Source organism: Homo sapiens, chromosome 5, assembly GCF_000001405.40.
Source record: "Homo sapiens chromosome 5, GRCh38.p14 Primary Assembly".
NCBI lineage: Eukaryota > Metazoa > Chordata > Mammalia > Primates > Hominidae > Homo > Homo sapiens.
Window position 1 is genome coordinate 92,603,234 of NC_000005.10, and position 27,978 is coordinate 92,631,211.

Genomic DNA, 27,978 nt, shown 5'->3' on the forward strand with positions numbered 1-27,978 from the left:
ATAGTGAATGAAATATCAACTCCTATCATTGGTAACTACTTCACTATCCTGCTTTATCTTTTTCTTTGCATTTATTTGTGCCTGATATAATCTTATTTATTAATATGCTTATTGTCTCTTCTCTTTCTCTCAGACTTTAATCCTCAGGAGAGGGACTCAGTCATTTTATTTATTCCTGCATCCCATTTATCCCTAAGCACTTGTATTCACAGCACAAAATCCATAGCTCTTGAATTATATATAAAATTTAACAACTGAATATTTATTATGTAAACTTCTCTGTGTTAAATGCTTTCTAAGCCATGGCTACTTGGACCACAATCCTGAAATAGTTGAGAAAACAAAGATAATATTGATACAGTACATATGGTATCAAATAAATTAACATAAAATATTGTGCATACATAAAAATTTAAAAGATAGCAAAGTTTAGATTAGTAAAAATAGTTGGAGTATCTATCTTTTGCTGATCTTTTAAGTGTTTTTAAAATTAATTATCCATACCCTCATCTATTCCAAAAATCACTAATTTTGAAGAAATGCTTTTGACTGTAGTTAAATTTAAGATCTATTTACCAACTGTATTAGTCAGTTCTCACACTGCTATAAAGAACTACCTGAGACTGGATAATTTATGAAGAAAAAAGGTTTAATTGACTCACAGTTCTGCAGGCTTAACAGGAAGCATGACTGAGAGGCCTCCGGAAACTTACAATCATGAAGGTGTAAAGGAACCAAGCACGTATTATCATGATGGAACAGGAGAAAGAGCGAGCCAAGGGGAAAGTGCCACACACTTTTGAACCATCAGATCTTGTGAGAACTCACTCACTATAACAAAAACGGCAAGGGGGAAATTGGCCCCCATGCTTCAGTCACCTCCCACTAGGCCCCTCCTCCAATTCCACATAAGATTTGGGTGGGGACACAAATCCAAACCATATCACCAACATAGACAAATAATTAGAATGCAATAAGCTTGTTGTATTAATGAAAGTATGTGCAAAATACGTGGTATAGGAGAAAAAGAAGCACAGAGTTTTTAAATCATAAACCACCAAGAACACATTAGTTCTGCTAAGATTAAATGCAGTGCCAGAGGAAGGAGAGCTTCTACAAAGAATTGCATCCCACATCTGAGTGGTCTCAAGGTCTCTCTAAACAGTCTCTAGTACTTTTCCTGGCACTCCAATGACCTCATGCCTTTTCAAGCATATCACTATACAGGCAAACATTTCCCTTACTATCTGCAGGGGAAAGTTACTGGGCATCTCAGATTATCCCTCATAAGCAGGAATTCTCAAACAGGATCCAAAGCCTGGACTGGAAATTCCTGAAAACCAAGCTCTTGGGCTATGGTTCTGAATTGAATGGCATGCCCAAATTCTCCCTGTTGCAGTTTGTTTCTCCAAATTAAAGTCATTATAAACTGCCAGGCGCCTCCAGTTAGGCACATGGTGACTTGGAAAATGGTGTGTACCGTATCTGTACTGATGTTCATGAATATTTGGGGAAAAAAAGCAGGAAACAGTAAAGGAATCCATCCTAAGATCAGGCTAAATGTCCAACTGTACATTGCCAGTCTCAAGGTAGCATTTTGGCATGAAACTCAATTTTCTCTTAGAATAATTTGCATTGGGATTATGGGCTAAATGTTCTCAAAGTGTCTAAGCTATAATTCTTTATGAGACTGCACTTTGGCATTTAACTACAGCATATGCAAGCCTAACTTACAGGCTCAGTCTTTACATTTATCCAAATTCTCTACATGATGGCAGCCAACTTTTAATGAAAAGCATTGCTTTATGACGTGATTTACTTGCTCTCTCTGTTTTTTATTCCTAGCAGGATTTTGCTTTACATTAAATATGAACTAAACTTTGCTAAAACTTCTGCTGTCGATTAAAATCTTCTTTGTAAACCTTCAAATTTCCAAAACCCCCAACCCTATGCAAAGAATAAAATGATTATAAATCTCACTTGTTTGATGCTTAAAACTGTTTAGACTATACAGAATTACCTCCTGTTCATATGAAACATATATTTCAAAGTGCATTCATTTTGTGCCCCTTGTAGTGAATCACATAATCTGAAACAAAGCATGGAGAAACAAAACAAAGAAAAAAAGCAAAGCAAAGAAAAAGAGAAATGCTAAAAAGGAAAAAATAATAATTAGATGAAACGAGTGGAGGAATAGAGAAAAGTAAGCCTGGTAGAAAATGCAAAAGCTGCATTATCTGTATATAATGTGGCTATAATACTACATTGGTCAGCAACTGTAATGTAAAAGGTAATGTGTAGGAGTTTTTATATGCTTTTCAGAACTATAAAGGGAGTGTGAGTGGATTTTAAACATTTTGATTAGCACCACAAAGATTTTAATGCTTTATTTAAACAGTTTGCTATAGGGCAAACACATTTGGTAGACAAGTAAAATGAAAGCATGGGCATCCGTTTCTCTGTTTTCTATTAAGTAATGTTGCGAAGTAAGCAGAAGTTGGATTCAGATATCAGATAATTATCTCCACACTGTGTGTCACAGTAAATAATTTTAATTGGTTTAACTTCAGGGACCATTACTGGCCTAATTAGAAACATGAAAAGGCTACAAGTATTAGGAAATATCCTGAAGGAATGAGAACATTAGCAATTCTGTCAAGCCATTTTTAAAATAAGTACACAGTAGCAGCCACATTTCAGTGAAAGGCAGGGGACTTGAAAGGTGCTTTTAGGAAAACAGTGCTTGTGAGCCTGTAATAAGAGAACTGTAATAGGAACCATAGAAATTGGGTAACAGGCTGACATGTATGCTACTTCTGCATTAAAAATATACTAATCTTGTTTTGATTGCTGTTTTTAAAAGATGCAGATTAATTTTTTCAAAGGATAAAACAATAATTGAGATTGGATAAATCCTGATCAAGAATATGTTGACTTATTGAAGGGGAAAGGGATCTTTGAGTAAAATAGCTTCAGCTAAACACCTTCAGCATGCAGAGATGTGCTGAGTGAAGGACTACACTGCGTGTTTATTTTTATTTCTTCGCCTTGGTTTTCCAACATACATGAGAAACAAATAGCTATTATTCTTTGAAGCATGCATATACACTATACATACTGCATTGTATGTCGTAGTTCATATTTGGAAAACAGCTATATTCTGAATATAGAAAAGTGAGGTACTGTGAACATTATTAAGTCAGAGATTAAGCCAGAAATCTATTCCCTCAGTATTTTCAAACATGAAGAGCCCTAGTTCAGAGGGCAAAATGTTTACATCATATAAGATACCTGCAATGCCATAAAATGTTTAAATGAACACATAATATCAACAGCTTCTAATAAGTAGTTGTGGAGTAAAATTTTGTTCTTTCTAATGTAATTTTTTTATAATAGATTTCTATTTTCTAAAACGGTTAATGGTGAAATTTGACTTTTTTTTGAGATATGGAGACTTTAAATGAACCATCCAGACTTAAAATTACAAAAATAAACCATATTTTTAGCCATTTTAATGTATTTATTTTAAAAGCAAAGGTCCGAGAAACGAAATAGGAAAAGGAAGGCATAGTAAACTATGGATCATTTTGAAGAACGCACCCATTACTAGAGAAGGGTAAATTGTGTAATTTTATAACCTATTGATATTTGGATACACTGTCAAATATTACATATTATAAATATAACTGAGCATTTAAAAGGTTAAGAAAATTATTAACTCCACCAAAATTTGTCAAACAAAAAATGTCTGCCTATGAAACAACTCACATCACAGACTCTCTTTACTCTTATACTCATAGATGATACCTCACAGACACATGCTTATTCACACATGCACAAAACCCATTGCTACAGTCTGTGCTTTTACACTGAATGTCTTAAAATAATACTGCCAGTTATCATAATTATTAACATTTGTACGTTTTTAAATTCTGGCAAATTCTTATTCGACTGGTGCATATGCAATAATTTAAACTCAAATCTTCTTAACAAGTTTGTAACATATGATCTCTGCCCTCATGGAAGGACATATAATGTGTTCTCACAAAGAAAATGGGAATAATTCCTAAGGAATAATTTTTAGCTACAGAACACATTAATTGTTTGCAGATTTGTTAAGGGAAACACACACATACACATACACGATTGTGGATCATTATAAAATAATACAACTGCCTGCCCACCAAACACATGTTCCATATTTCAAATATCTTCCAAATGTAGAAGAGGGAGGGAGGATGAGGGGGAGAATAAAAATGTGGTTGCTTATACAAATATACATGCTCATATACGTACACAAACATACATACATATGTTCATATATTTCAGCTTTGCCCATATGTTCCGAAAATAGCAGCCTGGAAAATTGGTACCCAACACATCCCACTCTCAGAGTACAGATACAAATGAAGACAAATTTTCCTAGTACCTAAGTTAGTCAAGTAGAGAAAGTACTTCAGGACACTACACTCTTTTAGGCCATTGAATGTTGCAAAGCAACAAACAAATCTACTTCTCAAAATACCAGCTTTATCCCTCAAAGAAGTTGGAGAATATTTCCCTTATCTCTTCTTCCGCAAAATAAACAATATTCCCCTACATCAGTGATCCAGGTAAATGAGCAGGGGAGGAGATGGTTATATGGACCTTATTTTTAGAAGTTTTTCTCTAAAACGTAGAGGGTTTTTTGGGGCGAAGAAAACAATGATTCCATCATATTTTGTACCCTATTTTCTGATCATTTATTTTATATGTATAGTGACTAATGGTTTTTATTATTGAAATGTTAGCTTGGTTTGGAATGCAGTCTCAAACTCAGAAAATCTAAATCTTGTAGTGGGGTAAGCATGGCTTTTTAGCTCTGCAGACCCGGTTTAGATGCCTAGGTTCATCTCTCATTGCTTATGTAGCACCTGAACATAAATGTTTTAATCTGTAAAATGGGGATGGTCATTCAGTTGCAGGAAACAAATAAAATAGTGTATATAAGGCACCTGGCTTATAGCAGACAAAACAAAAGTTTCCTATTAATAATGTTATGTTGTGCTGTCTTTTAAGGATCTCTTTGTATAATTTAGACAAAATCTATAAATAAGTAAAAAGCCTCTTGTTCATACATCACAGGTCAAGCCACTTTAGATTTTTTATGCTTTCTGGTCATCAGGCTTCTTGATAAATACATCAACTCTGTTATAGGGGCTTCACAACAATTCCTTTTCTTTTGTCATTGCCCCTTTCTCCTAAACCTCAGGATGTCCTGCAATCATGTTTATACAGTGTGATCCTCACTTTCCATCTCCATCCCTCACTCCATTCGCTGTTTGTACCCTCCTAATTACACATCCAAGGATGGTAGTAGAACCAATATTGGCAAGTCTGAGTCCCTCTCCCAAACCTCCAACACCTTAACGGTTATTTACCCCTTGTGTGGGGCTATCACTTATGACAAAATATAGTCTAATTCAGAGAGAAAAAGAAAACAGCCACCAGTTACTTTCCAAATCTGTTACTGACTATAATTGTCACTATGTAAAACTGGACAAGGAGAAAAAGCCAGTCTGCAAAAGGAGAGAAGTAATTGGCCAGGGAGGTGCAAAAATAAAAGATGGAGAGAGTACTGGCTTGGGTTCCCTTAAGCCTTCCTAGTCAACTGTATACCTGTATTTGTCTTCTTACCGTAAGCTCCAATCTTTCACTCCCTTTTGCTGCCGTTGTTTGGTTCTTGAAAAAAAAAAAAGAATTTCTGTTCTGTAACTCTATATTAAACTATAGCATGAGTATTAATAAAATAATTCTAAAAGATGAAAATAATTGAAAAAGTAACTTAGCAGTAGAAGTAATTTCTACTACTTTTAAAAAGAGTTTGTTTTATAATTCACAGCCAAGATAGTGAAATACAATTCTTAGGTTAAAACAATAATTGCTTTATAATGTAATCTAAAGTTATCCATTTACTCTTTCCCATCCCTTGAGATCTGAAAAGTCAGGAATGTTGGCAGCCCTGCAGGTTAAAACTGATAATATTCTGTTATACCTTTAGGGCAGAGCATAGTAGTAGCAAAGTTCTCTGCATGAGGCAATGAAGGCTTTCAATGAAAGATTGTGCTTAGATAATGTATTGATGTGGGAGCCTACAAGCTATTTTCTACTTCTACCATTTTCTGGTACAAAAAGAAAGGCAGGAAGTCATTGGGGTTATTAGATTCTTGGAAGCCTCCTTCTGGTGAGTTCTTTTATTTATAAACAGACATTTTCTCAAGACTCTCCTAAATTCTTAAAATTCACATTTATTTATTTTACATTTTACAACCAGCTTCTGAGATCCTAATTGGGTGCCCTGTAAGAGTACCTTCTTGGGCACTAATTCTCAGACTTGACTGTGGACCATGGGTCATCTGGGAAGCTTGTCAAAGATTCAGATATCTGAGTCCTACAATACAGATTATTTTTCCATTCTTCGGACGTTGCTCAAGAAGCAACAACTTTTTTTAAACAAACACCTGTGTGATTCTGATGTAGTCAATTCAGAAACAACACTTTGCAAAAAAACTGTTCTTAAAAAAACACATTTTTCCTTTGTTCATCAGACATAAACATATAGAGAACCTAAGATGATGCAGTAAGTACTTGAAAGCATTTTTAGCATTAATTTGCTCAAATTACAACCGATTGTACTTAAGATTTTGACTACCGAAAATAATAAAATAAATTATTTGGTTAAAAAAGAAATTTAAGCCTTAGCACATATTTTTATTTGCTAATCAATAAACCTAAGTACTAACAAGACTGTGCCATTTTTCTGATTTATAAAACTGTTGTATTGATAACTATGTAAAGACAATAGTTATCTATGTTACTTAACTGAAAGTAATATAGATATGTTCATCATAAATAATATAAATATTTTTCATTATAAAAAATTAATTGTATTATAAATAACATTAATGGTATTTGTAAATTAATATATACTAATCATAATAAATAATATATTAACACAATACTATTTATCATCAATGTTAATAATAAATAATTGTCAAAAATAATGATATTAGATAAAACATACATTTTTGAATGTATCAAATAGTCTTGATTACAACATTGCCTAGGAAGATGAAAATCAATTCTATTTACTATCAATCAAAATCTTGTAAAATATGGGTTTTTTTACAAGAAAAAAAAACCATTAAAAAGTGGGCAAAGGACATGAACAGACACTTCTCAAAAGAAGACATTTATGTGCCTAACAAACACATGAAAAAAAGCTCAACATTACTGATCATTAGAGAAATGCAAATCAAAACCACAATGAGATACCATCTCATGCTTGTTAGAATAGCACATGTACCCTAAAACTTAAAGTATAATAAAATAAATAAATAAATAAATAAATAAATAAATAAATAAATAAATAGAATGGCAATTATTACAAAGTCAAGAAACAACAGATGCTGGTGAGGCTATGGAGAAATAGGAACACTTTTATACTGTTGGTGGGAATGTGAATTAGTTCAACCATTGTGAAAGAGTGTGGCTATTCCTCAAAGACCTGGAACCAGAAATACTATTTGACCCAGCAATCCCATTATCAGGTATATACAAAAGGAATATAAATCATTCTATTATAAAGATACATGCACACATATCTTCACTGCAGCACTATTAATAATAGTAAAGACATAGAACCAACTCAAATGCCCATCAGTGATAGACTGGATGAAGAAAATGTGGTAAATATATACCATGGAATACTATGCAGCCATAAAAAGGAACGAGATCATATCCTTTGCAGGACATGGATGGAGCTGGAGGCCATTATCCTCAGCAAATTAATGCAGGAAGAGAAAACCAAACACCCCATGTTCTCACTTATAAGTGAGAGCTAAACAATGAGAACACATGGACACAGGGAGGGGAACAACACACACTGGGGCCTGCATAGGGGGAGCACAGTCGGAGGGAGAGTATCAGGATAAATAAATGCATGTGAGGCTTAATACCTAGGTGATGGGTTGATAGGTGCAGCAGACCACCATAGCACATGTTTACCTATGTAACAAATGTGCAGGTCATGCACATGTATCCCAGAACTTAAAATAAAATAAAACTAAATTAAACTAAAATATATATATATATATATATATATATATATATATATATATATATATATATTTATGCATGTGTGTGTGTGTAGATATACATGTACATTTTAATGCAGTGATTACCTTACTAGAAAATAAGGAAATAGTTGACTTTTAATAATTTTACATATAAGGATGTTAATTACAGTACTGTTTATAATAGCCAAAAGCAGGAAACATCATAAATAATATGAATTTTAAAATCATCATAAATAATATTAATTTTTAAAATGAGAATATTTCTATTGAAAGATGATATTTAGCTACATTGTAGTAAGTACAAAATACTGCTACTACTATTACCATAATCATGATAATAATTAACAATTTTACTTGTGTGTACAACTTACGAAATATCAAACCAAAAAAAGATGCTTTTTTTTTTTAATCAATGGATGATTCCTACTCCTAAATAAATTTATTTAAGTAATCTTTTTGGGTAGAGTCAGTGTTGCCACTATGACTTGATAATGTATTTATCTGGGTTACATACAATTAAATTATTTAAATCTTTAATCCCTTGATCCCTAAATGGAATGTAGTGCACCTGCATTATATTCTCTAAGAAGAAATATAATTCCAATTAAAAACATTTATATTGTATTTTATATATTAACCTTACTTTAGAACTTAATGGATGTTCAGCAAATTAGGTATATTTTATAAGGTATTTAATGATTTATAAATAGAAAGTATAAATTGAAATATTATATGTAGGCCAATATTAAAATAAAAATGAAAAGAAATTATTAATTCTTTTCCTTAAACACTTATCAACTGCTATCTCCAAATCATGACATAATTTTTTCCTTGTCTCAGTGTTAGATGGAGTTGATTTTTTAAATTATACAAATAATCCATAATCAGAGTAGAATGACTTTAATATGACATATGATCATATTTCAATTTTGTGCTAATGTATACACATACCTTAACATGTAATGCATTTTCTATCACCAGATATTATGATGTTTCCTTTTTCTGGCTATCATAAACAGTGCTGTAATGAGCATCCTTATATGTATAATTATTTAAAAATCACCTTTCTCTAGTACAGTGATAACTGCATTAAAATATGCCTATATTTTAAAAGCTTTTGATTGATAGTAAACAGAATTGATTTTCATCTTCCTAGGCAATGTTTTAAACGAGATTATTCTATTCCTTCAAAAATGTACATTTTTATCTTACATCTTTGATAAAGTTCTAGGCTTATTATTATTTTTTGTTCAAAATGGCAGGGTCATTTTTCTTTGTGAAATTGCAGTTCTTTTTGTTCAGTTTAAGTAACGTGTGGAGTACTTAAAATACTGTTTCGCTTAAGCATTGGAGTGTTCACACTTCAGGTGGTAGATATAAAAGAGATGAGGAAGGTGGAGTCCCTGTCACCTTACAGTTTGGTCTCAAATAGGTTGAGAATTACCATGCTGTACATGGATTATCATTTTTTAAATGTTTATAATTTATTAAACTATCACTAATACTAAAAGAGTCCTAAATGTTACCTGTCTATGAATTAGCACAAGTCCCTTTGTGACCCAATTTAGGTATCTGCAGACATTTAATATTATTCATCTGTTTAACTGACATTTATTTTATATCTAACATGTGCAGAAGCTTTGGAGAATGCAAATTAATTCTTAAAGTACCATATACACATATGTAAAATGCAAATATCCATACAAGGAAAACACAAATATCCATAAAAGCCCTGTATATTTAATGATGAACAAATGGTATAAGCCATAAATGTTTTAGAATTCATAGAATGAGAGTCCACTGTGGCCTGGAAAAGTCATGGAAGGCTCATGAAGTGGTTGATGCTTGGGCTAAAAATTTAAGAAAAGGTAGGACTAGGCTATTGAACAGGGTCAGTGAGGAGCAAAGGCATAGCAAGGTAGCAATGAGCAAGGCATAGTTGAAGGAGAGTGACTAGATGGAATTAGCTGAAAGGAAGTCTATGGGTAAAGAATAATGATTATACATTTGAAAACTTAGGAGAAAGCCAAATTGCAAAGGGCCCAAGTGCAGGGTTAAAGGCTTTAGTTTTATGTCCCATATCTTTGAAAATGTACAAGGGGGAAAGTGGTATGAGATGTTTAAGATAGATAAATCAAACAATGTGATAAATGATAGAGTAGAATAAAAAGAATGAGTGGGGTAATTATTTAGGCTGTTATTGATATACTACAAATACGAGATAATCAGAATCAAAAATAAGACCATGGCATTGATAATGAGAAGAAAGGTATAATGTGAAGAAAGACAAATTGGGGTCAGATGAACTTGCTTTTGATCTGTTTAACTTGAGGTAAGAATTAGAGCCTGGAGTTGGATCTGGAAACCACAGACTAGAACTGGAAGGGGTGACCAGGCCAGTTCATTATGAATCATCATGATAAACGTACTATCTGCAGCCATGAGACTAAAGAAAATCACTAAAAGAAAGCGTGAGAAGAGTCGAACAAGGAGACCTGAATCTTGGAGAAATGCTATGGGGGTAAATGGGAAGAAAATATCAGAGAGTTAGAAAGAGGATGAAACAGTATGCAAAAACTGGCACTTCCTGTCAGAGAGCCTAAAAACATCCAGCAGGTAATTGTTTTTTAATCCTAACTACTAGATAACCAGGAACAGGAGACATTTTTTTCTGTAACATGTCGGTAGGACACTTAATATCAAAAATAGCTGCCAGAATTGTAGATTAGGGGAAGTTACCTTTGATTGTTTTTATTTCTGAGACATATTATTTCTACCCTTCAGACTAATGTGCATATATTGATCTCTGATTACCGAATCCATTTCTGCAGATCTTCATTAAGTCTTGAGTTTCTGTCAATCCTTCAAAAATGCTAAAATTTATTCTCTTTTTTTCTCTTTCCTCATTCTAGCCAAAGAGGGATATAATCTGGTTCTCAAATTAAAGTTCAGAAAACTGAGAGAAACTGGTAATTTAAATCATCTCCAGAAGATATAGGGATACTTTCATTAATCTAGGAGTATCTCTAATTCATGAATTCTGATGGATGTATCTTTGAGTTGGAAATCTCTCCTCCAAAACCATTATTCAGGCAAGCCAAAGCCAACACTAGAATAACAAATGTCTAATATCTTGCTGAATGCTGTGAAGTTACTATACCAGTAATACCTGGTGCAGTCATGTTGAAATGACCATATCTAGAAGTTTCTTTAAATTATTCTAGAATTAATTTGAGGCCGGAGCAAGTTAAAAATATAGAGTGGCAGAAGAAAGAAGAGTTGAAGGTTAGTCATGAAAAGTTAAGGGAACAATAGCACCCTAGGAGAGAGGATGGGGAGACCTAAAACTACTGATGGTAGAGCTCACCTCTGGCAGCATAGTGAGAAAGACTGAATGCATTGGGCTAGCTAAGAAGAATTGCAAACCCAGGGTTTCTGAAGTACATAAGGTGCTGGCAGTTGTATATTATGAGTGGAGGTATGTCAGGCAAAGGAATCAGAATTGAAGATAAGGAGATTGGGAAATGAAAGTATTATTTTCAGGTAGAGAAGTAAAGGGTGTCGTCATGCTGTTGAGAAAGTTGATGTAGAATGAAAATAAAAATTGAATTAAAGAGAGTGGGATATGGTGAGGCTTAATTACTACATGAGCAACTTGAATATATGTGAAAATTATGGATGATGATGGGACTGCATAGGAAAAAAATAAAAGATGATATATTTCCTAAAGGCATTATTAAAGAGAACATTCACGGTGTAAAACAATAACAGCAATAATTTTAAAATCCATTTCTCCAAATTTTTCTTAGGTATCATATGAAAATAATTTTTATTTTCTAATATATTAGAAAACATTAGGTTAACAAAGAAAATCAGGTTTCTTTTTCTCTGTACTCTCAGCACTTTTAATTAATTAACACTGTGAAACCCTAAGAGAGAGAGGTATATGATATATTTTATTTAAGATATATAATCTTTTTCTTCCCTAGAACCTCTCAAGGAACTGTTAAAATATTGCTCAAGTTGCCCTGGAGAGGTCAAAGTTTGACTGCATCCTCTGTAAAAGAGAATAGAATTAAGGTTTCAATGACTTGGACCATAGGGAGTTTAACACTAAATAAAGTGGAGATATATAGGAAAAGGTGAAGCAACAAAGAAGATTTTGTTCTAGTGGCATGATTTTTGTCACCAGGCAAAGAAGAAAGACATAGTGGAGGGCCTGCTTGACAAGAGAGTCTGAGGAACCCAGGGGGCTGAGCTGGGTTTGACTGAAATGGTATGGAAGAAAGCATTAGATGTGAAAGTTGGTTGAAGTCCATCAGTAATAAAGAAAGGAGATTGGGAAGAAGCTGTATGACAATCAACACACAGGTCTGAAAATGGTGTCATTGAAAGTATGATTGTTTGGAATTTACATAAATGAGACATTATAGAAAACAGATTCATCATAATTAACTTCTCATTAAATAATTCAATAAACCTGCAGATATGCCTATTTCTAAATCATTCCAAAACTTATATTAGGAATAGTACTCAAAATAACAGGGTGGCAACATTTTAAGCCATCATTATCATCCATGGAAGTATAATATAATTTGGGTCCATTTTCATCTAAATATCTATGTTAAAAAAACATTTTTCAGCATTGCAATAACTCTTTAAATAAAAACAATGCTCCATGTAATAAATAATTTCACTATTTGATTTTCTTACTTAATTCTCCATATAAAAAAGAGGAAGAAAACAAAGCAACATTAATTTGGTTTTCACTGCTCCATTTGAGTCCCTGTAGTTAGCCTCTGTAAAGTAATTCACATTTTCATGTAAGACATTTCCAAATGGTCTAGTCGTGTGAATTGGGGTTTATATCTGTGACTATCTCCAAGTTTCTTTATCTGTCCTAAGCAGCAGGTTTCTTATCTGACAGCCTGATAATTATGGAAGAACCTGCATGTTAATGATTCAGTACTTACATAAACAACTGGCCTTGGATAAATCTAATAAACTGACTTTGTAGGATTTGATTTTTCCTAATTAAATGTAAATAATGTTAAATGTTGTATATGCCAGGATTTCTGCAGAACCTTATGAATTTTTTTATGAATGCCAAGCCTTATGAATTCAGAGTTTTTAACAGTTATCTTCTAATTCAGCTATTAGGATAATATGGTTTGACATCAGATATACTCTATGATTGTGAGGTACCAACACACGTGCACACTAAGTGTTTATGTATGCAAGATATAATTCTCAATTGTTGCTTTTTATTTTTTGATTCTTTCCTTTGAAGTTGGCAGCTTGTACATTTTTATCTGAAGGTCCAAATCTGCATCTTACTTTGAAGGAACAAATGGGCTCCATGTGGTGCTTGGCTTTCCTTTGCTCATCTCTATTACCTTCTATCAGTATGAAATGTATTCTGACATAGTTTTTTCACTTAAGTATATGCACCTGATTTTTTCCATTGGTCTTTTGCTAACACATGCCTCCATTTAAGGATATGTACAAGGATTGGCTTTTAAAACAAGAGAATAGTGTCATTTAGGAACAAATGTACATTAAGCATATATATTTGAGTAAATGGTATTTCCATCTTTTCTGGAATAGAGAGAAGAAAAACATTGCTCAATTTTTTTCTAATTTGGAAAAAAATATAAATAAAAAGTTGCCTAGTTTTTGTTTTTTCCTTTCAGACTTTTATTAAAATTTCAGGGGTACATGTGCAGGTTTGTTATATAGGTAAACTACATGCCATGGGTGTTTGGTGTACAGATTATTTCATCACCCAGGTAATAAGCATGGTATCTGATAGGTAGTTTACCAATCCTCACCTTCTTCCCACCTTCTACCCATAAGTAAGCCCTGGTTTCTATTGTTCCCTTCTTTGAGTCCCTGTGTAATCAATGTTTAGCTCCCACTTAAAAATGAGTAGATGTGGTATTTGATTTCTTTTTCTTTTTTTTAACTAAAGTCCTCACTTTATTCAGATGTCTTTGTTTTGTTTTTTTCCTGAAGTTCTTTTTGTTTTTCAATATTCCACATTCCATTAATTGTCATTTATTCTTAGGCTTCCCCTGGCTCTGGCAGTTTCTTAGACTTTCCTTGTATTTGACAACGCTAAGAGTTTGTTTGTTTGTTTTATTTTACTTCATTTTACTTCAAATTCTGGGATACAAGTACATAGGTATACGTGTGCCATGGAGGTTTGCTGCACCTATCAACCTGTTGTCTAAATTTTAAGCCCCACGTGCATTAGCTATTTGTCCTAATGCTCTCCCTCCCCTCACCCCCCAGCCCCCAGTTGGCCCCAGTGTGTCTTCCCTGTGTCCATGTGTTCTCATTCTTCAACTCCCACTTATAAGTAAATACATGTGGTGTTTGGTTTTCTGTTCTTGTGTTAGTTTCGTCAGGATAATGGCTTCCAGCTTCAACCATGTCCCTGCAAAGGACATGATCTCATTCCTTTTTATGAATGCACAGTATTCCATGGTGTATATGTATCACATTTTCCTTATCCAGTCTATCACTGATGGGCATTTGAGTTGGTTCCATATCTTTACTATTGTAAATAGTGCTGCAATAAATATACACGTGCATGTGTCTTTATAGTAAAATGATATATATTCCTTTTGGTATATACCCAGTAATGCGATTGCTGGGTCAAATGGTATTTCTGGTTCTAGGTCTTTGAGGAATCATCACAGTCTTCCACAATGGTTGAACTAATTTACATTCCCACCAATGGTGTAAAAGCATTCCTATTTCTTCACAGCCTCGCCATCACCTATTGTTTCTTGACTTTGTAATAATTGCCATTCAGACTGGTATGAGATGGTATCTCATTGTGGTTATGACTTGCATTGCTCTAATTATCAATGATGTTGAGCTTTTTTCATATGTTTCTTGGCTGCATAAATGTCTTCTTTTTAGAAGTGTCTGTTCATATCCTCTGCCCACTTTCTAATGGGGTTGTTTGTTTCTTGTAAATTTGAGTTCCTTGTATATTCTGGATATTAGACCTTTGTCAGAGGATAGATTGCAAAAGTTTTCTCTCATTCTGTAGGTTGCCTGTTCACTCTTATGATAGTGTCTTTTGCTGTACAGAAGCTCTTTAGTTAAATTAGATTCCATTTGTCAATTTTGGCCTTTGTTGCAATTGCTTTTGGTGTTTTCTTATGAAGTCTTTGCCCATGCCTAGTTCCTGAATGGTATTGCCTAGGTTTTCTTCTAGCATTTTTATGGTTTTGGGTTTTACATTTAAGTCTTCAATCCATCCTGAGCTAGTTTTTGTATAAGGTGTAAGGAAGGGGCCCAGTTTCAGTTTTCTGCATATGGCTAGCCAGTTTTCTCAATACCATTTATTAAATAGGGAATCCTTCCTCCATTGCTTGTTTTTGTCAGGATTGTTGAAGATCAGATGGCTGTAGATGTGTGTTCTTATTTCTGAGTTCTCTGTTCTGTTCCATTTGGTCTATATGTCCGTTTTGCGACCAGTGCCATGCTGTTTTGGTTCCTGTAGCCCTGTAGCATAGTTTAAAGTCAGGTAGTGTAATGCCTCCAGCTTTGTTTTTTGCTTAGGATTGTCTTGGCTATACAGGCTCTTTTTTGGTTCCACATGAACTTTAAAGTAGTTTTTTTCTAATTCTGTGAAGAATGTCAATGGTAGTTTGATGGGAATATCATTGAATCTATAAATTACTTTAAGCAATATGGCCATTTTCATGATATTAATTCTTTCTGTCAATGAGGATGTAATGTTTTTCCATTTGTTTGTGTCCTCTCCTATTTCCTTGAGCAGTGGTTTGTAGTTCTCCTTGAAGAGGTCCTTCACATCCCTTGTTGTCTGTATTCCTAGGTATTTTATTCTCTTTGTAGTGATTGTGAATGGGAGTTCATTTATGATTTGGCTCTTGCTTTGTCTATTGTTGGTGTATAGGAATGCTTGTGATTTTGCACATTGACTTTGTATCCTGAGATTTTGCTGAAGTTGCTTATCAGCTTAAGGAGATTTTGGGCTGAGACAATGGGGTTTTCTAAATATAGAATCATCATCTGCAAACAGGGACCATTTGACTTTCTCTCTTCCCATTTGAATGCCCTTTATTTCTTTCTCTTGCCTGATTGCCCTGGCCAGAACTTCCAAAACCATGTTGAATAGAAGTGGTGAGAGAGGACATCCTTGTCTTATGCTGGTTTTCAAAGGGAATGCTTCCAGCTTTTGCCCATTCCGTATGATATTAGCTGTGGGTCTGTCATAGATAGCTCTTATAATTTTGAGATATGCTCCATCAATACCTAGTTTATTGAGAGTTTTTAACATGAAGGAATGTTGATTTTATCGAAGGCCTTTTCTGCATATATTGAGATAATCATGTGGTTTTTGTCATTGGTTCTGTTTATGTGATGGAGGATGTTTATGGATCTGTGTATTTTGAACCAGCCTTGCATCCCAGGGATGAAGCCGACTTGATAGTAGTGAGTAAGCTTTTTGATGCACTGCTGGATTCAGTTTGCTAGTATTTTACAGAGGATTTTCGCATTGATGTTCATCAGGGAAATTAGCCTGAAGTTTTCTTTTTTGTTGTGTCTCTGCCAGGTTTTGGTATCAGGATGATGCTAGCCTCATAAAATGAGTTAGGGAATATTCCCTCCTTTTCAATTGTTTGGAAAAGTTTCGGAAGAAACGGTACCAGCTCCTCTTTGTACTTATAATAGAATTCATCAGTGAATCCATCTGATCCTGGGCTATTTTTGGTTGGTAGGCTATTAATTACTGCCTCAATTTAAGAACTTGTTATTTGTCTATTCACAGACTCGATTTCTTCCTGGTTTAGTCTTGGGAGGGTGTATGTGTCTAGGAATTTATCCATTTCTTCTAGCTTTTGTAGTTTATTTGCATAGAGTTGTTGATAGCATTCTCTGATGGTAGTTTGCGGTATTTGATTTTCTGTTCCTGTGTTAGTTTGCTTAAGATAATGGTTTCCAGCTCCATCCATATTGCTGCAAAGGACATGATCTCATTCTGTTTTATGGCTGTGTTGTATTCCATGGTGTATATGTACCACATTTTCATTATGCAGTCTACTATTGGTGGACATCTAGGTTGATTCCATGTCTTTGCTGTTGTGAATAATGATGCGTTTAGCATACATGTGCATGTGTCTGTATGGTAGAATGATTTATATTCCCTTGGGTATATATCCAATAATGGGGTCGCTGGTGCAAATGGTAGTTCTATTTTAAGTTCTTGGAGAAATCACCAAATTGCTTTCCATGGTGGCTGTACTAACTTACACTCCCACCAACAGGGTATAAGTGTTCCCTTTTGTCTGAAACCTCACCAACATCTGTTATCTTTTGACTTTTTAATAATAGCCATTATGACTTGTGTGGGATGGTATTTCATTGTGGTTTAGATTTGCATTTCTCTAATGATTAGTGAGTTAAGCATTTTTTCATATGCTTTTGAGAAGTGTTTCTTGATGTCCTTTTCCCACTTTTTGGGGTTGTTTGTTTTATTGTTTGTCAGTTTATTTAATTTTTTAACAGATTCTAGATATTAGATCTTTGTTGGATGCATAGTTTGGAAATATTTTCTCCCATTCTGTAGGTTGTCTATTTACTCTGATAGTGTCTTTTGCTGTGCAGAAGCTCTTTAGTTTAATTAGGTCCCATTTGGCTATTTTTGTTTTTCTTGCAATTGCTTTTGGCATTTTCATTATGAAATCTTTGCCAGGACCTATGTCCAGAATGGTATTTCCTAGGTTTTCTTCAAGGGTTTTTATAGTTTTAGACTTAACATTTAAATCTTTAAATGGTTGTAGGCTTTATATTTAAATCTTTAAATCTTTACATTTAAATCTCTATATGGTGTAAGGAAGGAGTCCTGTTTCAATCTTCTGCATATGGCTGGCCAATTATCTGAGCACCATTTATTGAATAGGAAGTCCTTTCCAATTGCTTGTTATTGTTGACTTTGTCAAAGATCAGATGGTTGTAGGTATATGGCTTTATCTCTGGGCTCTCTAGTCTCTTCCATTGGTCTATGTGTCTGTTTTTGTACCAGCACCATGCTGTTTTGGTTACTGTAGCCTTGTAGTATAGTTTGAAATCAGGTAATGTGACGCTTGTTCTTTTTGGTTAGGGATTGCTTTGGCTATTCAGGGTCTTTTTTAGTTCCATATGAATTTTAGAATAGTTTTTTCCTAATTATGTGAAGAATGTCATTGGTAGTTTGATAGCAATAGCATTAAATCTGTAAATTGCTTTGGGAAGTATGGCCATTTTAATGATATTGATTCTTTCTATCCATGAGAAAATTGCCTAGTTTTTAAAATGGTACTCAGCACAAAGATTTCAAAAGTATTTTGCAAAGGAAGGTGAGGCTGATGACTACCCTTAGAGATCTACAGCTATTCACCATCTCTTACTCAATGTAGTTTGTGGACAGTTGCATATATCAGTGGCATGGTTGCATGGATGCAGTAGGCCATAAGTGAAACAGAAGAAACATTTTGTGTAAAATAATAATGAATAAGAAACATCACTTCCTTCATTCTAGGTCTCTAATCAACACAGTCATCCTGATCTTTGTAGTCCTATATTGGTTCTTCTTAGAAAAAAAAAAAAAAAAGTCAATCCCTGAATAATCTGGTCATGTTATCAGGTAAAATTTTTCTATTGGCCTTTACTGGGAATCATTTTATATTTTGAGTGAATGAGTAAAAGAGAATAAAAAAGAGAAAAAGACAAAGACATAAAAATAGAAGACTGACTAAAGACAACTTATCTTTAAATATGGAGAGCAATATCCAATTAATATTTTTATTATTTCAACTCTCAAAACCTATGAGGTTATAGTGAAAATTTGCTAGGTAAAACTCAGGTCTCATTGACCCCCAAATCTGCCCCAGGTAATTCATACACTTCTCTGTTATAATGGATAAGTTAATTATCTTTTACTTTAAGAGTTGGGTTTCTCTGTCTGTAAAATATAAATGGTAAGAATAAGTAAATACTTATGGTTGTATTTGTGAATAAATGAGATAGCATTAAAAAAAACTAGCCAGTATAAGGCATACATGCAGTACAGAATTCTTCACTGTGGTGGTAAACACATTTCCTGGAGCCTCCATTTTTACCCCACTATGTCATTAGACCATAATCAGGAAATATTAGGATACGATCTCATTATCTGATGCCATAGAGATAAGTAAAAACTGCCTGTGTTTGCTTCTATTTGGGGAATATATTTTTTAAGAAAAATCTCAAGACAGGAAGCCAAACTCTTTTAAAATTGACTAATACCTTAAAATGGAACTATTGAGCATTAAGTATGCTATCCAAATAATATAAAATAGACATTCATTTATTCACTTAACAAGTACATATTTTCTATTTGTTGAGTGCTTACTAGCTCTGAATCTATTCTAGATACTGGGACACCAGCATTGAACAAAATGAATGAAGTCTCTACTCTCATGGAGCTTGCTATCTTGTGGAAGAGATAAAAATAAATAAATAGATAGTAATGAGCTTTGAAGAAGATAATTCTAGTGAGAGTAGAAAGTGACAGGGGATGGTGGTGGTGGCTATTCTAGACAGGAGATAAGGAATGACTTCTCAGTGGAGGTGACATTTCTGCTGAGATATGGATAGTACAATAATTAGCCATGATACAGTACAAAAGTGCTTCTACAGAGAAAAGCAAGTACAAATTTTTAAGGCTATGAAAAACGCAGTGTTTTGTGAAACACAGAATAACCCAGTGTGGCTGGAGCATACTGAGTAAACTCTAGCATGGAGAGGAATGAGTACAGGAAAGTAGGCATAGGCCAAAATTATCTAGGACATCAAAGACCATGGTAAGGAGGCTTAATTTTATTCTAAGATAAGCAGGAAGCTATGAGATGCTCTAAGCAGGGAAGAAACATGATATGATTTACCTTATTAAAAATGATCTCTCTAATTGGCAGTATTGGGACAGAAGAAAAAATAAGGAGACTAGTTAGGAAACCATCATAATCCAAGTGAGAGATAACAAACTATGAAACTAGGGTGCTAGTGCTGGAAACTGAAAAATAATTGTATTTGGGATATATTTGGAAAGTACTGTTGAAATAATTTGAAGAAGGATCAAATTTGACCAAAACAGAGAAATCAAAAATGACTTCTAGGATTTGGCCTGAGCAACTGGATGAAAGGTGATAGTATCATGGAGTCAAAGAACAGGATGACTTTAGGAGTCATAAAGCTAAGAATTTGTTTTGGATTTGTTAGTCTAAACAGATTATTAAATCTCAAAGTTCAATTAATGAGTCTGAAGCTCAGGGAAGAGGTGACAGCTGAAAGTACCCATTTGGGAGTCACCAGCAAATAGATGATGTTTAAAACATTGGGACTGGATGAAATCACTCAGAGAGAGTATAATTAGAATTACGGTTAATATCTACATGTTAGGGAATTGCAACATTTAGAGGTTTAGAAGAAGAAAAGGAGTCAGCAAAAGAGAATGACAAGTTTCAGTGAGGTTGAAGGATAACAAGGGACGCCAACTGAAGAAAGTGTTTCAAGAAGGAAAAGATATTAACTACATTATTAGCTGCTCAGAAATGAATTAGCTTGAAAACACAGAGCTGAACCCTGGATTGGCATGATGGGAACTGATAATGCCCCTAGAAAGTGCTGTGTCAGTGGAGTAGTGGGTGTTAAACTCTGATTCATATGGGCTAGAGAAAGTAAGAAAATGGGGGAAAATAAGAACTCCTTAAGCTGTTTTGTTGAAAAAAAAAAAAAGGAACAACAAAATAGATAGATGTGGGGTCAAAGGGGTTTATTTTATAGTATGGGAGCTATCAGAGAATGTTTGTATGCAAATAGAGTACTTCAGTAGAAAGAGAAAATTGGTGAAATAGAGGAAAAAATTACAAGAATGATTACCTTGATTAGGTGGAGAGGGATAGGTAAACAAATATGAGAGAGTAGCCACAGATAGCAGCAGAGCAGTTCATCCATAGTAAGGGAAGAGTAGACTGAGTATCAGGTAAAGATGCAGGTAGTCTGATTTATTCCATGGTGAAAAGGTGATTTATTTCTCTTATAATTGTTTCTATTTTTTTCCGCAGTTAGTAAGGTATAGTTGGCATATAGTTGGGATACTCTACACATATACTACACTACACACTACATATAAGTGTACTATTTGTTATGTTTTGGCAAATGCATTCCTCAGTGAAGCCATCACGAAAATCAAGACTGTGAATAAATCTATCACTCCCACAAGTTTACTTATGACCCTTTATAATCTCTCCCTGCACTTCTGTGCCTCCATCTTTATTCTCCCCAGTCAGCCACTGATCAAATTTCTGTCACTATAAATTATTTTGTATTTTCTAGAGTTCTGTACAAATAGAACCATACGGTAAATATATGATTTGTCTGGCTTCTTGCTCTCAGCATAGTTCTTCTGAAAAATCATCCATGTTGTTGTATATATCTATAGTTCATTCCTTTATATTGCTTAGTAATATTCCGCTGTATGGATATAACATATTTGTTTACCTAATCACTTGTTGATAGATGTTTGGATTGTTTCCAGTTTTTTACTAGTACAAATAAAGCTACTATAAACGTCCCTATATAAATCTTTGTATACCTGTATACTAATTTTTCTCTCCTGGAAAAATTTATCTCGTCACTTAGAAGTGGACTAGATAAATCAGATGATAGATGTATTTTAACATTTAAAGAAATGAACAAACTGTTTTCCAAAACGGTTATGCCATTTTTATATTTCCATCAGCAGTATATGAGAGTTTCAGTTCCTCAACATTCTCCCCAATGATTGGTATGATCACGTTTGTTGATTTTAGTTATACTAATGGGTTTGTAGTGTTTTTTAATTTTGGTTTTAATTTGCATTTCCCTAATGATTGATAATATTGAGCATATATCTTTTTAATCTACCTATTTGGTAAAGTTCAAATATTTTGCCCATATTTTAAAAAATGAATGATTTCTTTCCTTACTATTGAGTTTTTAGAATTTTTTATATATTCTGGATGCAAGTCCTTCACTGGATATATTACTTGCAATAATGTTCTCTCAGTCTGTGGCTTGTCTTTTCATTGTCTTAACAGTGTTTTTTTAAAAAGCAGATGTTTTAAAATTTAAGTCTAATTCATCAAAGTATTATTTCATGTGTCGTATTTTTAACGTCATATCTATGGAATTTTGGGCTAACAGATGATCAAAAGGATTTTTTTGAGATTACGTAGTGTTAGCCACACAACTTTTTGTTTATCTTTTTCAGTAACTTTGGCAATTCTAGGTCCTTTGCACTTCCATATGATTTTAGAATAATCTTACCAGTTTTACAAAAAAAATCTGCTAGTATTTTTATTGGGATTGCATTGAATCTATAGATAATTTGGAAATAATTTATGTATAAACAATATTGAATCTTCCAATCTATAACAATTTAAATATTTCCATTCTTTTAGGCATTCTTTATAATCTCTCAGAAATGTTTTATAGTTTTATTTTACAAATCTCACAAAATCAATTACATTTCTATATGTGAGCAAAGTATATGGACTGTGTTGTCAAACTCACTAGTACTTGTAGCATTTTTTTTTTTTAGTTTTCATTGAATTTTCTACTTTGATGCTCATGACATCTATAGATAACAGCAATTTTACTTCTATTCCAATCTTAACACCTTCTATTTTTCTTGCCTGACTTCACTGTCTAGCACTTCCAGAAAATGTTGAGTAGAAGGGGTGCATGGAGATACATCTCTTGTTCTTATAAGGAAAGTATTTAGTCTTTCACCATGAAATAAGTTGTTAGCTATAAGTTTAAAGATGCCCTTTGCCGGGTTGAAGAAGTTCCCTTTCAATCCTAGTGTGTGAAGAGTTTGTTTGTTGGTTTGTTTTTTATAAGTGAATATTGAATTTTGTCAACTGCTTTTTCTTCATCTATTGAGATTATTATTACTTTTTCTTGTTAGTTTGTTAATATAGTGAATTGTATTATTTAGTATTTAAATAATAAATCAATTCTATGTTCCTTGGATAAACCCCACTTGATTATGATGTATTATCTTTTTAATATATTGTTGGATGTATGTTGAAATTATGTTTAGAATATTTATATTCATGAGAAATCTTGGTCTATAATTTTCCTTTCTTGTTATGTTTTTGGTTTTTATAGCAGAGCAATTTTGGAAAGCATTCTCTCCTTTTTAATTTTCTATATTATTTTCTGCCTAATTAGTATTTTTTTCTTTCGGGTAGAATTTACCAGTGAAATCATCTGGGTCTTGAGTTTCATTTTTGAAAAATTTTAAGACACAATTTAAATTTCTTTAATAAATAGAGAGCTATTAAAGCTATTTGTTACTAAGTGAGCCTAAGTACTACTTCTTTCATGTAATTTGTCTATTTCATCTATTTTTTTAATTTATAGGAATAAATTTGGTCACTACATTATTTCATTTTCCTTTTAATGCCTTTAAAATCTATAGTGTCATCTTTCTCATTCTTGGCAGTGACAATTTGTTTCTTCTCTATTTTTTACTTTCTCTGAACAACCTAACAAGAGGTTTACTTTTTTCTTAAAATAAACACATTTTGGTTGCACTGATTTTTTCTAATGTCTCTCAGTTTTTTTCTTTCATCTTTATTATCTATTTTTCTAATTACTTTGTGGAGTTTGTTCTTTTTTCTAGTTTTTTAAGTTGGAAGTCTAAGTGACTAATTTGACTTTCTATGTGAAAATTTGTGCTGTAAATTTTCCCTAAGAACTGCTTTAGCTGCTTCCTACAAATTCTGACATGTTGTGTTTTCATTCATTTAAATAATACTTTCTAATCTCCATTTGGATTTCTTCTTTGATTCATACTTTATTTAGAAGTGTGCTATTTAGTTTCCAAATATTTGGAGAGTTTTCTGAAATTGTATTGTCATTGATTTGAAAGGTAATTCCTTTGTGGTTTGAGAACAAACTTTTTATGAATGAAATCCTTCTGAATTTGTTGAGACTTGTTTTATGGTCCAGTATATCATCTGTCTTGATAAGTGTTCTATGGGCACATGAGAAGAAAGTACATACTGTTTTTTCAGATGGGATGTTTTATGAAGTCAATTAGGTCATATTGGTTGATAATATTGTTCAAATTATTATCTCCTTGTCGATTTTCTGTCAGTCTGTCCTATCAGACATTGCAAGAGTGAGACTGAAATCTGACTGTAATTGTGGATTTACTGATTTCACCTTACAGCTACATTTTTAATTCATGTGTTTAATGTTCTGTTATTAAATGCAGAAAATTTTAAGATTCTTCTATCATCTTGATTAATTTTCTTTTATCATTATGAAAGGACCTATTTTATTATCATTAGAATATCATTTGTTCTGAAATCCACTTTGATATTAATATAGTCACTTTAGTTGTATTTATTATGACTAGTAAAATACAGATTTTCCATTCTGCATTATTTTAGATTAATTGAATATTTTTATGACTATTTAATCTCCTTTGTTGGGTTATTTTTCGTGACTTCTTGTTTTTTTATTTTAATGGTTGATTTAGGTTTTAGAGTATACATATTTAATTTATTACAGTTTACCTTCAAATGATATATTGTCACTTTACATATAGTATAAGAACCTTGCAGCAGTGTACTTCCATTTCTCCCCTTCTGACCTTCATACTTTTATTGTTATATATGTTGCACTTAGATGCCATATACCCCAAAATACATTGTTATTTTTGTTTAATCAGTCATTACCTTTAAAATGAGACATGTAAGAAATATAAGAAAAATCTTAAGAGGAAAAAAAACTTACATATTTACTTATGTAGTTAAAATTGTCTATATTCTTCATTCCTTTGTGTAGACCCTTATTTCAATCTGGTATTATTTTCTTACTTCCTGAAGGGCTTCCTTTACTATTTTGGAGTGCAAGTATGTTGCTGACGAATGCTTTTAGCTTTGTTCATCTGAGATTTTTTATTTTACTTTTGTTTTGAAAATGTATTTTCACTGTGTCTAAAATTTTAGGTTGTCAGAATTTTTTTTTCCTTCAGTAATTAGAAAATAGTGCTTTTCTGGCTTCTTGCTTGCATTATTTCCAACAACAACAAAAAATCTGCTGTCATCCTATTCTTTGTTCCTTTGTTGGTAATATGTCTTTTTATCTGACTGCATTTATGATTTTCTCTTTCTCACTGGTTTTGATCAATTTTTTAATGATGTTTGTTGGTATAATTTTCTTTACATTTCTTTTCTTGTGCTCGGGGTTCATTAAACTTTTTAGATCTGTAGGTTTACAGTTTCCATAAAATTGGAAAAATTTTCAGCCACAACATCTTCAAATATCTCCCACCCACTCATCTTTAAGGTTTCAAATTGCATGTTTATTTTCTCACTTAAAGTTGTCTCGCAGCTTTCAGAAGTCATTTTCAGTTTTAAAAACTGTTTTCTTCTGTATGTTTCCTTTTGGATAGTTTCTGTTGCTATTTTTTATTCAATTTCACTAACTCTAACTTCTACAAAGTCTGATCTGCCACTAATCTCATCTACTATAATTTTTATGTCAGATATTTTAGCTTTCATTCATAAAAGTTTGGTTTGGGTGTCTTGTTTGGTTAACGGTCATTTTATACACTTCATGTCTCCCCTTAACTTTCTTAAACTTATAAAATAATCACAATAACTGTTTAAATATTTTTGTCTGCCATTCTAATGTCTATGTCAGTTCTGGGTCAGTTTTGATAAATTGATTATTCATTATTTATTTTGCTTTCCTGCTTCTTTGTATGCCTTGTAATCTTTTACTGGATGCTAGACATTGTTCGTTTTATCTTGTTGCATGCTGAATATTTTGTATTCCTATAAGTATTCATGAGTTTTACATTGGAATAAAATTATGTTACTTGGAAACAATTTGATCCTTTTAGATATTCTATTACAATTTTTAAGGCAGATATAGAACAGTGCTTAGTCTAGGGCTAATTATTCCTCACTACTGAATCGAGACCTTCCTGAGTCATCTTTGGAGTGTCCCATGAATTTTGAGTTTTTCCAGTCTAGCTGGTGGAATCGGGCATTATTCTCAAAGGTGTGTGATCCTTGGCATGGTTTCCTTCAATCCCTTCTGTTTGATTCTTTCTCTGGCCTTGGGTTGTTTCTTCACATGCAAGTTCTCATCATTGATACTGGATATTTTTTGTAGCTCTCTGGGGCTCTCTCTTCATGCAGATCGCTTTTTTTCTGGAACTTCAGCCTGGAAAATCTACCTACCTTAATCTCTCCAGACTCTCAGCTCTGTGTGCTCAATGCAGGGAGTATGCTGGTTTCTGCCTGGATTCCCTTGTGTTTTCTCTCCCTGTAGCAGTCCAGCCATCTCTCAAGGCAGTAAACTGTGTCAATAGTAGGGCTTACCTCACTGATTTCCAGTTTCTCACTGTCCTGTGCTGCTAGATTCATTACATTCTTTTGAAATTTTTTAAAAAATATATTTTGCCTGTTTCTTAGTTATTTGGGTCTGGAAAGTAAAGCTGGTCTCCATTATTTCATCTTGGCCAGAGACAGAAGTCCCATTTTATTTGTTTTGTTTTGTGTTTGTCAGTGGAATAAAAGCCAGGTCATCAGCTGAGAATTAGAGGAAGTGGAGGTCTTGAGGTTTAACAAGAGTAGTAAAGATATGAAATAGTTATCTTGGAGAGTAGTGAATAAATTGACTCCTAAAGCTATTAAAATTTCTAGGCATTTCTTGTAGAATTACTTAGCTTCAAAATAAGGGGTTTTGTGGAAATAATTAAAAGATAAATATATATAGATTACAACAACCTGACTCTCTCATGATACCTATCTTTATTTTTTAATCTGAAGCCCAGTACTCGGCCTTGCATGTCCAATTTCACTCAAAGTTTAAATGAAAACAGACTTAATGACTTCAATTACTTAAAAAACAAATGCTTTTAGATGTCAGTATTTAAAGGAAAAAGTCAAGGGAGGTGATAGTTTTAACAAATATTTTATGATAAAAATAGAACTTCAACTATTTGGGTTACTAACGTAAAGGAAGTATTAAATAAAATGGATGCTAAGTTTATTATAAAAAACTGATGTATATTGTTTTCTATTCAGCTTCTTTGCCTTTCTGTAATGCAGGCTGAATTCTGTAAGAAATATGTTAACTCTTAACTGTCGCACATAATATTGATCTTTTTTTTGCAAGATTTATCTCTATCCTGTCTTTACAATATCTTTTGATCAATTTATTTTGTGATTTCCCTATGAATTGCTTTTATTTTATCCAGACACTAAGTATATTAACACAGCAACCTATATTAGCCCTCGATTTACAGTTTCTTTGTTTTAGTGTCATTTGTAGTATTTGTAGACAACATTTTCACTTTGAGTTATTTATTTTATACCACTGAATTAAAGGAAAAAAATTGAACTTGAGAAAGTGGGTGTAAGACTGTCACATCTTGTTTTTTCGTAATTGTTTTCAACATATGTAATACATATTCACTAATTTTGTATAGGGACTGATACCTTTATTTTTTTCTAAATTTTCTAAACTTCTTATGTATTTATTTTTAACTGACAAATTATTATTGCATGTATTTATGGGTACAACATGGTATTATGATATAGCTACACAATATGGAATAATTAAAGCAAGCTAATTAACATACCCATTACCTCACCTACTTATTTTTTGTGGTGAAAGCATTTGAAATTTACTATCTTAGCCATTTTGAAATATGAGATACCTTAATGAGAGGTGACAGCGTGCTGGCAGTCCTCACAGCCCTCGCTGGCTCTAGGTGCCTCATCTGCCT

General features: G+C 33.1%; 1 long non-coding RNA gene across 3 annotated transcripts in view, besides 1 other annotated feature; it reads right to left on the minus strand.

The window, feature by feature from the left end:
* Nucleotides 1-27,978, minus strand: part of LOC105379082 (uncharacterized) — a 135,090-nt gene that overhangs the window by 50,097 nt on the left and 57,015 nt on the right. The gene's annotated exons all lie outside the window — the stretch shown is intronic.
* Nucleotides 1,982-3,102: an enhancer, noted in NCBI's record as "VISTA enhancer hs1109". NCBI's record gives its function as "enhancer in: limb[10/11]" and the evidence as "EXISTENCE:transgenic organism evidence [ECO:0001131][PMID:17130149]".